Source organism: Homo sapiens, chromosome 5, assembly GCF_000001405.40.
Source record: "Homo sapiens chromosome 5, GRCh38.p14 Primary Assembly".
Lineage (NCBI taxonomy): Eukaryota > Metazoa > Chordata > Mammalia > Primates > Hominidae > Homo > Homo sapiens.
This window is the reverse complement of record NC_000005.10, coordinates 169,551,091-169,564,895: the sequence shown is the minus strand read 5'-3', so window position 1 is coordinate 169,564,895 and position 13,805 is coordinate 169,551,091. Positions and strand designations below refer to the sequence as shown.

The 13,805-nt window shown below is 37.0% G+C and overlaps 2 long non-coding RNA genes and 1 pseudogene across 3 annotated transcripts in view; 1 reads left to right on the top strand and 2 right to left on the bottom strand.

Annotated features, from left to right (window-relative positions):
- The window catches only part of LOC105377714 (uncharacterized), a 126,055-nt gene that overhangs the window by 18,766 nt on the left and 93,484 nt on the right, over nt 1-13,805 (top strand). The window lies entirely within an intron of this gene.
- The window catches only part of LOC105377715 (uncharacterized), a 101,339-nt gene continuing 90,707 nt past the window's right edge, over nt 3,174-13,805 (bottom strand). For both annotated transcript variants that reach the window (XR_941204.3, XR_941205.3), the window contains one exon: nt 3,174-3,357. This is a non-coding gene — a long non-coding RNA (uncharacterized LOC105377715). The remainder of the gene's footprint in view (nt 3,358-13,805) is intronic.
- RNU6-477P (RNA, U6 small nuclear 477, pseudogene) lies at nt 12,341-12,447 on the bottom strand (annotated as a pseudogene).

Genomic DNA, 13,805 nt, shown 5'->3' with positions numbered 1-13,805 from the left:
AAGGAAGAAAATGTGCAGAACGCTTACAAAAAATGTTTTGAAGGGAATATACCAAATATGTAGGGAGTTACTTTTAGATGACTTTCACTTTCTTTTTATGATTCCCTACAATCAAAAATTCTTGTTAAATAAGCTTATATTTCTTTTACAATTAGAAAATATATTTTTTGAAAATCAGCCAACTGCTAGCCTTAATGTATTTTGGCAAACATTGAGGCAGTCTTTCCTGTTTGACTCAGTTGGTACTGGTTTTTCCTGCTAACATTTCCTATAAGCCAGTGCCTTCAAAAATCTCAGTTACTCAATAGTTTAATGTTGGCTCTATGTCCGTATTTTAGTCAAACCCTACCTAGATAACTATCCTGGGAGGTGTAATGAAGGAGATGTGTAGGGATATGAAGATATAATACAGAAATTATTGTGGTAGACATGGTTTCTTGGCTGACCCAAAAACCATAGAAAAGACTGGGATTTCCACAATTCAGGCTGGAGAAGCAAAGTCATAGGCACTTTGGACCTAGAGTTGGTCATATGACACATGAAACCAAAGGAGTTGGCTGCTGCAGGAGCTTCTATAAAATACTTTTTTTTTTCCCCATATAGAAAGATAAACCTGGATGGCACTCCTCCTGCCTCTACTAATCTTCCAGCTCTTCAGTCAGTCATGAGGATATGATTTTTGCAGTTGCGGCAGCCAGTTTGTGAACTTGAGGTGACAAGATAAGGGAAAGATCAAGGGATAGGCAAGGAATAGGCAAGGGATATGCTGACCCTAACATTGTGATGCTGCTGAGCAAAAGCCAGCTAAAGTCTACCTCCAGGCTGCTTGTTACGAGAGAAAAATAAAGCCTTATTTGTTGAAGCCACTGTTTACTTTCTCATTAGTTGCAGCCATGCATATGCCCAATGGATACAGTGCTCAAAATGCTCAGATATTACTCTTTCTTGAATTCAAGCAAATGTTTTATATCTTCCCTTGCAAGGAAATATTGTTTGAATCATTTTTAGGAAATCTAAAAGACTAAAATTCAAATTTAGAGTTCATCTGTTTAACTTTTTTTGACATGCAAAAATTAGTATTTAGGGAGAATAAAGGATTGCCACAGGGTTATAAGACTAGTGGTTATTTTCTCAACAGCAAAATTTTGCATGAGGACACCTTCAGGTGGCTATTTGTGTTGTCTACAAGTCATAAGCCATAAGAGTTATGGTATATGATGTACAAGATGATGGATAAGAACATTCCACAGCATCTCAATAGATAAACTTACTGACAAGAAATATGTCTGCTCCTTACCCTGAGCATGGGAACTGCTGGCTGATGGATTCACAGAAGATATGAGTGTAAGAATGCTTGCCTGGGTGTTCTGGTAGCTGTTCTTCATCATAAGCACTTAAGGAGTCATTTTGTTGGATGATTTTGGTCACTGATAGAGGCTGAGATATGCAAGTCGATGGCAGTCAACAAAGCAATGACCTCATTATTTTTGTCTAAAAGGCCAGCTCAATCCCTGCTGGAACATCTTTTTGGGATTTCTATATCACTTATAGCTAATGGGTCTAGCTTTGCCACTTACATTTTTAAAATGTCATTTTAGAATGAAGCTTAAAAAGGAAGTGGGAGGTAGCTGAGGGTATAATATAGAACCCTATCCACCAGGTGTGTATTCTAATCACTTCATTTAAATGTGCATGAAGGAGCCACATCATAAAATGACCTGAAAAATTAGACCATAGAGCTATATCCTAAACACTGGTGATTCAGGTCTCAGCTCATAAGTTACCTTCATTGGCACATTCCCTGATCTCTCAATCTGATGCAGTCCCACAGTCGCTCTATGACATCACCTATTTTAGTTTCTTCTTGGCTTTTACCATCATCTGGTGATTGTTTTATCGATTCTGTTCTTTGCTCATTGTCTCTCTCCCCTCTAGCACTTGAGAGGTAGCAGGACCCACTTTGTCTTGCTTGCTGTAGCATTCTGAGTGAAGATGTCAGGCCCCAGACTAGAAGTTCCATAAATGTTTGTGGAATGCACAAAAGATGATCATGATATTCTCTGTGACAACTTTGGCTACTTAGGTGACTACGTTGTCTTTTAAGGGTGGGAGGGATGATAGATTACCTCTCTTCATTTTCATTGGTATGTCAGACAAGCACTTGTGCACCTTAGTCCAAAGAGTTACAATATAATTATGTAAAAAAATGTGGGAGCGATTAGAATTGGCACATGCCTCAATCACAAATTCATATTTGCCCATGTGCATGTATGTGTGTGTGTTTATGTACATATACAGCTCAGGTTAATTTGTTTTTGCCTGAGTGGCCAGTGGTCTTGTTTACTGAGAAAAAGATATATATTTAAATTGTACCAGAATTTTATAGATATTTTCACATTTCACTGAGTAATATGTTATACAGATATTTTCACATTTCACTGAGTAATATGTTATACAGATATTTTCACAACCTACAATTGATCCTGTGCTCTACGCATGCATATGTATTGGTCGGTGAGCCCAATATAAAATGCACTGGAAACAAGGCAAGCATTAGCCTAGCTTAGGAAACCTGCAGCACGATTGATTGGAAGGAAACCTAGGCATATATGCAACCACTACATAACTAGAAGAAGAGCTTGACACTGAGCCCAAGAGAAAAGAGCCCATAGAGAGCCCCAGAGCTCCCCACCCCACTCTCAGGATAGAAAGTCATGTGGGACGTGGTGTAGAAAGAGCCTTATTCCGCTCCAAAGAGCAGCTAAGCTGCCAGCAAACTAAACTTTAGGAGTAAGATAAAAACATTAATTACAGATGTCAAGATTAGAGTTTGCTTTTTCTGCAAATTCCATGGGGTCTCTAAGCAACTTGATCTTTGAATCCCTGGGGTACTAAAAATCTACAGAGAAGAGATTGTTATCTTAATGTTGCAAAATCCCCACCTTGAGTGCTGCCAAGTAAAAATCCAGCTTAATGACACAAAGTAGAAGGAATATTTCTTGTCTTTTCTTTCTTTAAAAGAGGACTGACATTCAAACACAATTTAAGCTGACAATTATAACTGTAAAATTCTTCCAAAATTCTATGAGTATACAAAGTGCCTTGCCTGAGCTTAAGGAAACAACTATGTAATCACTAAAATTGGATTTTGATTTTAGAAAGCCTTTCTACATACTACTTTTAAAATGTATCAGTCAACTTAAAAATGTTTGTTACCCCGACAGAGAGGCACTTCCCAGAAGAAGAACTTGACTGCTGGAAGGCAAAAAGCTGAGCCCTCATTATTTGATATTCATAAATGTGAAGTCACCTTCTCTGTTCTCGCCCCAGTCCATTAATGCTGATCACAGGGGATCCCTGGGAAGAGAATACAGATTAAATTACCAGTGTTCAAAGTAGAGAATAAATTACTACTCTCCAAACAATATGTGTTTGCTAGAAAATATTGCTGTGAGTATAGACTCTCATGCCGCAGAAACACGGGTATATAAAAAATGTAATACTCCCTTTTTTTTTCTTAAGCACTGAACTTCATATCAATCCAGAGCCCCCATTCTGTGGAATAAATTTAGTGGAGTGGAATCAAATTAGTCAGTTGTGGGTGAGATCAGTCTTTCCAGATTAAACTCAGTAGTTTGAGCATTTTTTTCTCTCTACCCTTCTTCCTGGAATGGCAGGTAGCATCATGGCGTCAGGGAGAGAAGCCCACTGTCAGCCATTCACTAATTCCTCTGCAGTTTGGGAAATGATGCAAAGCCTTGGGTGATGTGGTTGGCTGCCCTCAGCCCTCTTGGCCCTCAACATCCCATGCAGCCCTCTTTACCTTATTCCTCTGTGCAAGGTTGCTGCCTCCCAAGAATCCAGGTGAGAAGTGGGGTACAAATTCCCTCTACCATCGTTTTCCCAAACATACTCTGGCATGTACTTTTCCTTTTGCAACAAACACTATCAAACACTATCTCCTTTGCTGAGAGTCCCCGACAAGCATCTCACTATTTAGTTTTTCTTTCTGATTCTCTTGTCTCCCATATAAAAAGTGTGTTTAGCTTTGAAAAACCTCAAAAAGTCTTACAACCTTCACAAAAGTTGTAAGACTAATATAATGAACATTTGTATACCTTTTATATAGATACAGCAATGGTTATGATTTTGTCTCATTTGCTTTGTTTCTCTCTATCCTCTCTCTCTCTTTTTTCCCTTTATCAATGGAGTTAGTTACCTACATCATGACATTTCACCCTGAAATACTTCATCATTTGTCTCCATAGAATAAAGCATTTTTCTACCTTATCAAATTTGGGGATTTAGTATCGATGCAATGCTATTACCAATATACATACATATACAACAATTTTCACTTGTCCTAGCAATGCCCTTCTTAGAATGTTTTCTTTCTCATCTAGGATCCTATCTGAAATCATTGACTGCATTCTGTCATCATGGATCTTCACTCTTCTTTAATTGAGAATATCAGCTCCAAGAATGATCTTGTCAGAGTGCAGCAATGGGTGGGGAGGTGAAAGTTGGGAGGGAGAAACTAATTTTATTCTTTAGGTCTGTCTAGTCCTTGGTTTTTAAGGTTTAGAATCCAAGAGATTAATTCTTTTGTCATTATTTGCATTTTTACATTTAGATGCCTAAACTGTGAGCAGTGAGTACCAGCTAAGGAAGACTGAAGGGGGAATAAAGCATGCTAGTTAATATTAATATTACACTTCCAATTATTGTCCTGCCCAATGGATTTGTATCTTTCATTGAAGTGGATTCTTGTACTGTGAGAGTTTTTGAAAGTCCCCCCGTGTCATCTTGTTCTGCCTTACAGAACTCAGTTTCTGGAGGACAATGTTCTTCCCTCTCATCTTGGTCTCTCTCTCCTCTGATTCCCTCCCTACAGGAGTATTATTGCAATTGATGCCAGAGAGCAAATTCTTTTAGCTGGCTTTTGGAAGGACTTTTTGGACATGCCCTAAGTTTTGAAGGACAATTATGTGAATCAAGTATGAAATCAGTGATATTGTGGAGGAAAATTTGAAGGACCCTGGTAATGAAGTGAATTGCTTTCACACAGGCCTAATTTAGCTAAAAGCCGCAGTAGCAGCCTCAAATTAAATATTGCAAGTTAAGAGTGTCTTTGTTTTTTGATAGTCTCTGAAAATGTTTTTTGGAGAATGAGCTCAATTTATTAATTACAGCTGATAACTTATGAACTTTAAATCAGTCACAGGCTTCCAGCTTAACAACGTCACTACTTTTGAGATGCTTGTATTATAAAGCCAACAACTTTATGACAATGAAATAAAAGCCCTTTGTGCTAAACAGTATTTTATTTGACATCAGGGAGATATTGTGTAAATATTCACTGGTGGAAACACAGAACAGTAATTATTCTTTTTCAAATAATAGCATAAACAGTTGAGCTTGGATTCTGGGATTTACTCAATAACTCTCAGAGCACGATTTGCTGCGGCTGAGATGTAGAGAAAAAAAGAAAAGAAAAGCAACAAAGAAAAAAGAAAAGAAAAGAGACCCTTTGAAAGACAAGTCACAGACTGGGAAAAATATTATCTATGTATCTATATGGCAAAGGACTTATATTGAGAATATTGAGAATTAAAAAATGGGCAAAAGGTGTAAACACTTTGGCTAGTAAGTACACAAAAAAGTGCCTAGTAACATTAGTCATCAGGGAAATGTAAACTACAGTGAGATATCACTTCACACCCACTAAAGTTAAAAAGGGTATGATATCCAATGTTAGCAACCCAAATGTCCATCAACATGTGAATGAAGAAACAATTTTTATCATGTTCATGCAATGAGTTTCTAGTCTGCAATACAATAAGCAGGGATGAGGCAACAGCATGCATGGATAAGCCTCAAAATAGTTATGCTGAGTGAAAAAGTTAGGTAAAAATGAGTCCATATTGTATTATTCCTTTCATATAAGATTCTAGAAAATGCAATATCATCTATGGCAACAGAAAGCATACCAGTGGGTGCCTGTGAATGGGGATGGAGAGGAGGCAGGGCGATGGGGGATGGATTACACAGGAACATGAAGAAACTCTTGAGGGGATAATGCATGTGTTCAGCATCTTGATTGTGGTGATGGTTTCATGAGTGTATAGATATGTCAAAACTCATAAAATTGTACACATTATGTATACATACTTGTGCACATAAATATATATAATTTATTATATGTCAATTATACCTCAATAAAGCCATTAAAACAAGAAAAGCATAGGTTGGGAGAAAATATTTGCAATACATAAAACTGATAAAGGACTAATATCCATTATATTAAAGATGAAAAAAAGTTGCTGCAAATCAATAAGGAGAAGAGGCAACTCAATAGGAAAATGGACAAATTTCTCTAATGGAATATATATCTGAACACAGACAGTAACATGAAAGTAAAAAGGCAGGAGAAAGGTAAATAGAGTTAAAATGCTTGCACATCTTTGAGTTTCTTGGGAAGTGGCCAAGATACTCATTTATATTAGACTTGGATACATAAAGAATGAATATTGTGATTTCCAGGAAAACCACTTTAAGGTAAGAATGTATGACTAATGAGACAATAGAGAAAGAAAATTTAATAATAAAAATATTTAATCTAAGAAAGATATAAAAAGAGAAAAGAGAAAATAGAATGGTTGAGAGATTTTAAGACTGACTTAAATTTACAATAAATTATTATTCATTTATAAAACTAGGACATATGTATATTGCTTAGTTTGTTGTGTTTGTGTACAAATTTTTTATACTTTTAAACTATTGCAAAATAAAAAAAAAGTAGACAAAAAAAGACAAATTACTCACAAAGAAACTAAAAACAACACTGACTTCTAAACATAAATGATGGAAGTCAGAAGACAATGGAACTATGTCCGGAAAACATGGAAAGAGAATAACAGTCAATTTATAATAGAGTGTCAAACAAAATTTTATATGAAGACAAAATTAAGACTTTTTATACAAATAAATACTAAAAGAATTTTTGAGCAACAGACTCACTGTAAAAAACATAATAAATTACTCAAGGGGAAGAAAAATGAACCCAGATTGTAGCACAGAGATGAAGGAAGTAGTGAAGAGCAATAGGACAGGAAGTGTGTGTGTGTGTGTGTGTGTGTGTGTGTGTGTGTGTGTGTATAGATCTTTTAGAATAAGTTGCACATGAATTCATTGTAGAAGTTTGGGTTTGCAGTTTGGGTTTCCTGGGATGCCAGCTCTGAGGACTCTGAGACAGTGTGTTGTATAGGATGTGTATTAAAGGGTTCCCTTGGGATAAAAACCTGTGAAAGTGAGGGGAAAGAAGAAAGAGTAGGCACAGAGATTATCTTAAACACACTATTTTGTCATTGTTGAAAGTGTAAATCAAAAAATTTTAAGGGTAGGGATTCTATCTTAAAGGTGGGGAAAGAGTCTTTGTTTTCATGTCCCTTGAGTTATAGTTACAGGGTTATTTAAGGAAGCAAAAATCATAGAGAATTAAAATATCCAATAAAATATTTGTTAATAAGCTGCCCATTTATAAAATTTGTTCTCACTCAGAAACACATTCTATGCTAATTAGCTTGCCAACAACTCTGCCAATCTTTTATAATAGAGAGCTTCTCTAAACATTTAACCAAATAATATAAATACTTAAAAAATGCAAGCATATTAGCTTTCTATTGCTGCATAAGACATCACCACAAACTTAGTGGCTTAAAACAACACACATTTACTCTCTCACAATTTCCATGGGGCAGGAGCCCTGGCATGGATTAGCTGGGTCCTCCGCTCAGGGTTTCATGAATCTCGTGAGTCTGAAATTACAGTGTTAGCTGGGACTCTGATCTCATTTGAGATTTGCAGTTGTCTTTCAAACATACTAGTTGTTGGCAGGATTCAGTTCCTTGTGATTATAGGAATCAAGTCCCCATTTCCTTGCTGGTTGTCAACAGGGATCATTTTCAGCTCCTAGAGGCTACCCTCTTGTCTTTGCACATGACCATCTCCATGGGCAGTTGTCTTAGTCCATTTTTGCATTGCTATAAAGGAATATCTGAGACTGGGTAATTTATAAAGAAAAGAGATTTATTTGGCTCACAGTTTTGCAGGCTGTACTTGTATGGAACCAGCATCTGCTTGGGTTCTGGTGAGGCCTCAGGAAGCCTTACTCATGCTGCAAGGTGAAGGGGAGCAGGCATGTCACATGGCGAGAGAGGGAGCAAGAGAGAAGGAGGAAGAGGTGGCAGGCTCTTTTTAACAATCAGATCTTGGGGTAATGAATAGAGTAAGAACTCATTACTGGGAGAATGGCATCAAGCAATTCATGGGGTATCTGTCTCCATGACCAAAACACGTCCCATTAGGTCCAGCCTTCAACACTGGAGATCAAATTTCAGCATGAGATTTGGAGAGGACAAATACCCAAACTGTATCAGCAGTTCACACATGGCAGATTGCTTCTCCAAGGCCAACAAGAGGAGCTCACGCCAGTTGGCTACAACAGAGACTTACAAAAAGAATAACATATTACAGGTGTGACTATCCTGTCATGTGTACAGTCCCCACTCTCACTCATGAGGAGGAAATTACACAGTTCATGTACACCAGGGGGCAGGAATCTTGGGAGCTGTCTTAGAATTCTACTTACTGCAGCAAAATTTAATGACATCAATGAAAATGATGTTTAGAGAACTGCTTGATTTCTACTCAGATCTATTGATCAGAGGGTAGGCTAGCTAACAAATAAAAAAAACACAGTAATTATAATGTTTCAAAAGAGAATGATTTGGCTATCAAACGATTAAGAGATGTCCTTGGGAAAAAATTGTTAACTGCCCTATTTTTACAAAACACTCAGATAAACTGTCTTGAAATGAAGGCTGTTGTATTCACTTCCATTCAATTTATTAGACAAATTTTGTTTCTCTAAATACAATTAAAAGCTGATTCTTTTTTGTCCTAATAATTCTAAGGCAATTATAACTTAAATTTTGTAAATTATAAAATAAAAACAGAAGTAACTTCATTTTTTAAAAAATTCATTTTCTAAAATAAAACCCCAATCACTTTTCCACCCCCTCTCATTTATTAGGAAATTTTGGTTCCTTTTTATACCACGTCATGTGGCCTTTATCTGGGAACAATTTCCGTTGGGTAATGAATGCCTACACTTGATAAATGCATGATTTGGGGGGAGATGATTCGGTGTGTCATATTCAGGAACTTTTGCCAGCTAGTGGTTAGCTGTCATTCAAAGCTGCCACCCAGTTAAGAGGACTAAAATACCATTTTTAATATCTATAGGTATCAGCTCAGCTAGTAGATTAAGCATGAAACTATTCATTGAACCATAGTTTTAGTTTTTCCCAGGGATAATATTCAAAGTTATTTACAAACAGTAAGGCATGGTTACCGATTAATCAAAATGGATGTCTTCCATAGCCAACCAGTAGGGGCATTCTGGGGCATTTCAGGCAAATATCATCTAGTTTTGGTTATTGCATTTCACACTGGATCAATGTCCTACTGCATTCGTAACCCCAGCTAATTTTACAAATTATTATGCTGATACCACACTAGCTAAAGAAAGAGGGTAAATTTCCTGTCAAAGCATTTAAGAGTCCAAATCTCAGTACTCAAGTACTTTAAAAGACTCATAGAAACTCTTCTCCTGCCCCTAAACAATCTCCTTTTCTCAGAATGACATCCCCAAAGGGAAGACTGAATAAGGAGGGAGAGAGACTTGTTCAGTCTGCATTCTGGGAGACGGTACATGGGATACCTCAGACTTAAACTCCAGATGTTAAAAATAAATTGTTATTATTACTATTTTTGTCTTGTAAAAAGAGGTGAGGAGAGAAAGAAGTCTATGCTATATGGTCAGAGCAAAAGCTTTGTGCAATACTGGCTGCTAAGAAGCAGGTGCTTTGACTTTGGTGACATTTTCAGTGTAAGGTTAGATCAGTGCCAAGCCTAAGGGTTGTGCATGTCATGGCCCTGAAGGTGGGTGCCTGTTAAAGTTTTTCATACTCAGCACCTCATCTGACTCATTGTAGTCCTGTCCTTGTATTAGACCCTTGACCTTAATAAACAGAGAATTCCTACATCTCCTTTCCTTAGAAACAGATTTTTGAAACACTGCAAACATTCACGTGTTCAGACTTCTTTTCACTGTTCTTGTTGATCCTTTACTTATCTACTGATTTTCAAAAATACGTATATTTAAAAGTATATATATATATATATATATGAATGAGTTGTGTTACAAACATATATAGATATATGTTTGTAGATATGTGTATCTGTAGACATATGTTTTACAAACATATAGATGTAGGTTTGTAAAACAACTCCCCAAATGTAGAAATACAGAGAGGAAGAAAGTGAAGATCTCCTTTCAGGTCTTCTGGTCATCAGATTACTCATTCTCTTCTCTAGAGATGATTGTTGCTATTGCCTGGTGCTTCCACACTCTCTTCTATGCATTTGTACACATACAGATGCACATCTGCCTACATGAACTCAAAAAATTAAGAGGATCATCCTTTACGTATTGTTTTGCAGCATTTTATTACCTCACAGTATACTTTAGAAAGTTTTCCATGGGAGGAGCTGTAGTTGGATCCTAGTCTTTTTTTTTTCCCTTCAACTTTTATTTTAAGTTCTGGGATACATGTGTAGGATGTGCAGGTTTGTTATATAGGTAAATGTGTGCCATGGTGGTTTGCTGCACAGATCAACCCATCACCTAGGTATTAAGCCCAGCATCCCTTAGCTGTTCTTCCTAATGCTCTCCTTCCCCTTACCCCACCCTCAATAGGCCCCAATGTGTTGTTCCCACCCATGTTCCTGTCCATGTGTTCTCATCATTTAGCCCCTGCTTATAAGTGAGAACATGCGGTGTTTGGTTAGTTTGCTGAGGATAACGGCTTTCAGCTCCATCCATGTCCCTGCAAAGGACATGATCTCATTCCTTTTTATGGCTGCATAGTATTCCATGGTGTATATATGCCATATTTTCTTTATCCAATCTATCATTGATGGACATTTGGGTTGATCCCATGTCTTTGCTATTGTGAATAGTGCTGTAAGGAACATAAGCATGCATGTATCTTTATAATAGCATGGTTTATATTCCTTTGGCTATATATACCTCATAATGGGATTGCTGGGTCAAATGATATATCTGCCTCTAGATCTTTGAGGAATAGCCACACTGTCTTCTACAATGGTTGAACCAACAGTGTAAAAGCATTCCTTTTTTTCCACAACCTCACCAGCATCTGTTGTTTTTTGACTTTTTAATGATAGCCATTCTGACTGGCATGAAATGGTATCTCATTGTGGTTTTCATTTACATTTCTCTAATGATCAGTGATGTTGAGCTATTTTTCATATGTTTGTTGGCTGCATATGTTGTCTTTTGAGAAGTGTCTTTTCATGTCCTTTGCCCACTTTTTAATGAGGTTGTTTTTTTTCTTGTAAATTTAAGTTCCCTGTAGACTCTGAATATCAAACCTTTGTCAGATGAATAGATTGCAAAATTTTTCTCTCATTCTGCAGGTTGTCTGTTCACCCTGATGATAGTTTCTTTTGCTGTGCAGAAGCTCTTTAGTTTAATTAGATCCCATTTGTCAATTTTTCCTTTTGTTGCAATTGCTTTTGGTGTTTTCATCATGAAATCCTTGCCCATGCCTATGTCCTGAATGGTATTGACTAGATTTTCTTCTACGGTTTTTATAGTTTTGGATTTTACATTCAAGTCTTTAATCCATCTTGAGTTAATTTTTGTATAAGGTGTAAGGAAGGGGTCCAGTTTCAGTTTTCTGCATATGGCTAGTCAGTTCTCCCGGCACCATTTATTAAATAGGGAATCCTTTCCCCATTGCTTGTTTTTGTCAGGTTTGTCGAAGATCAGATGGTTGTACATGTGCAGTCTTATTTCTGAGTTATCTATTCTGTTCCATTGGACTATGTGTCTGTTTTTGTACTAGTACCATGCTGTTTTGGTTACTGTAGCCTCTTAGTATAGTTTGAAGTCAGGTAGTGTAATGCCTTCAGCTTTGTTCTTTTTCCTTAGGATTGTCTTGGCTATGCGGGCTCTTTTTTTGGTTCCATATGAAATTTAAAATAGTTTATTCCAATTCTGTGAAGAAAGTCAATGGTAGCTTGATGGGGATAGCATTGAATCTATAAATTACATTGGGCAGTATGGCCATTTTCATGATATTGATTCTATCCACGTGCATGGAATATTTTTCCACTTGTTTGTGTCCTCTCTGATTTCATTGAGCAGTGGTTTGTAGTTTTCCTTGAAGAGGTCCTTCACTTCCCTTGTAAAAATATGGAATGCTTCATGAATTTGCATGTCATCCTTGTGCAGGGACCATGCTAGTCTTCTCTGTATTGTTTCAGTTTTAATATATGTGCTGCCAAAGCGAGCACCCCTAGTCTTTTTAAATGCTACATGATAGTAGGTTCAAAATAGCAACCATGCTAACATGAATTGTGTACCTGTTATGTCAGGCAGTGTTCTGGCTCTTTAAGAGTGGTACCTCATTTAATTTTCACAGCAAAACTCTACAAAGAAGAAAATCTTATCATCTTCTTTTTACATTTGAGGGAAACAGAATCACTGAGAAGCTAAGCAATTTGACCAAGGTCACACAGCTAGTAAGCAGTGGAACTGAGCTATGAACCCAAGCAGGCGAATTCTGGAGGCTTCGTTCCACTTTGCTCCTAATATAAACATACCATAATTTATTTAATATTCCCTTGTTCTTGGATACTTAAGTTACTCCAATTTGATTATTATAAATAATGTTGCACTGGAAATCTTTGTTTATGGCAAGTGTCCATCTGCAAATATTTCTGTAAGATAGAGCCCTAAAAATGCATTCTCTGGGTCAAAAGACATGCGCATTGCACAGTGTTATCATTCAGGTAAGAGGAGGCCTATTGCATTAGGTTAATTATTTACCTTGACCATGACTGAATTCAGAGCATGGTATAACAGGTATGTCTTCAGGACTTGAGAAATGCCTGAGCCCTCAAACCCAGTTTATCTTTTATACCGTGATCTCATTCTTTGTTTCCCGGACTCTCCAATACTCCTCCCCTGATTTGTCTCTGAGAAGGAGTTTGCTAGTCCAGATGTTGCTATGACCCAAATTACTGTTTATTTCGTTTGTATTTGACTTGTCTTATAATGGTGCAATTAGCATGCCTAGGAAGTCCTTTTGCCCAGGGGATTGGGAGTAGGGACCAGAGTTCTCTCTCACTGGGACCTCCTCAGGTTTTGTTGGTTGAATCCTAATAGTGCTGTTGGTTATGCTTTTTCTTGTGGTCACAAGAACATGAACACATCTTCTCTATCTTATTTTGTTTATTCAAAGATGTCATCAACTTATACTTTTTTTCCTAAAATTTTAAACTTTACTCATTTTGCTTTTACTAGTCTTACTATGTTTTTCCCTTCCACTGCAACATATTCACTTTTTGAGCAATATTGAAACTCAACATAGATGTCATTTGTTCAAGGTCACACATATCTATATTAAGTGCCTCATTTAGATGGGTGCCTTAACTGGGTACAGACAGCTAAAATATCTGAACAGTGAAGTATTTTTATCTTGATTTGCTGTAAATGCAAGCAGAAATTCATATCTGGGTGCCTTAGGCATGGAGTGAAAAGGGGATATGTTACCGAGTGTTATTTAATATGAACACTTCTCTTTCTTGGGAACCAGTTGAGAGTCCTCACCTGGATATACAAAGGGACCATTTTTGTGAGACCCTGACTC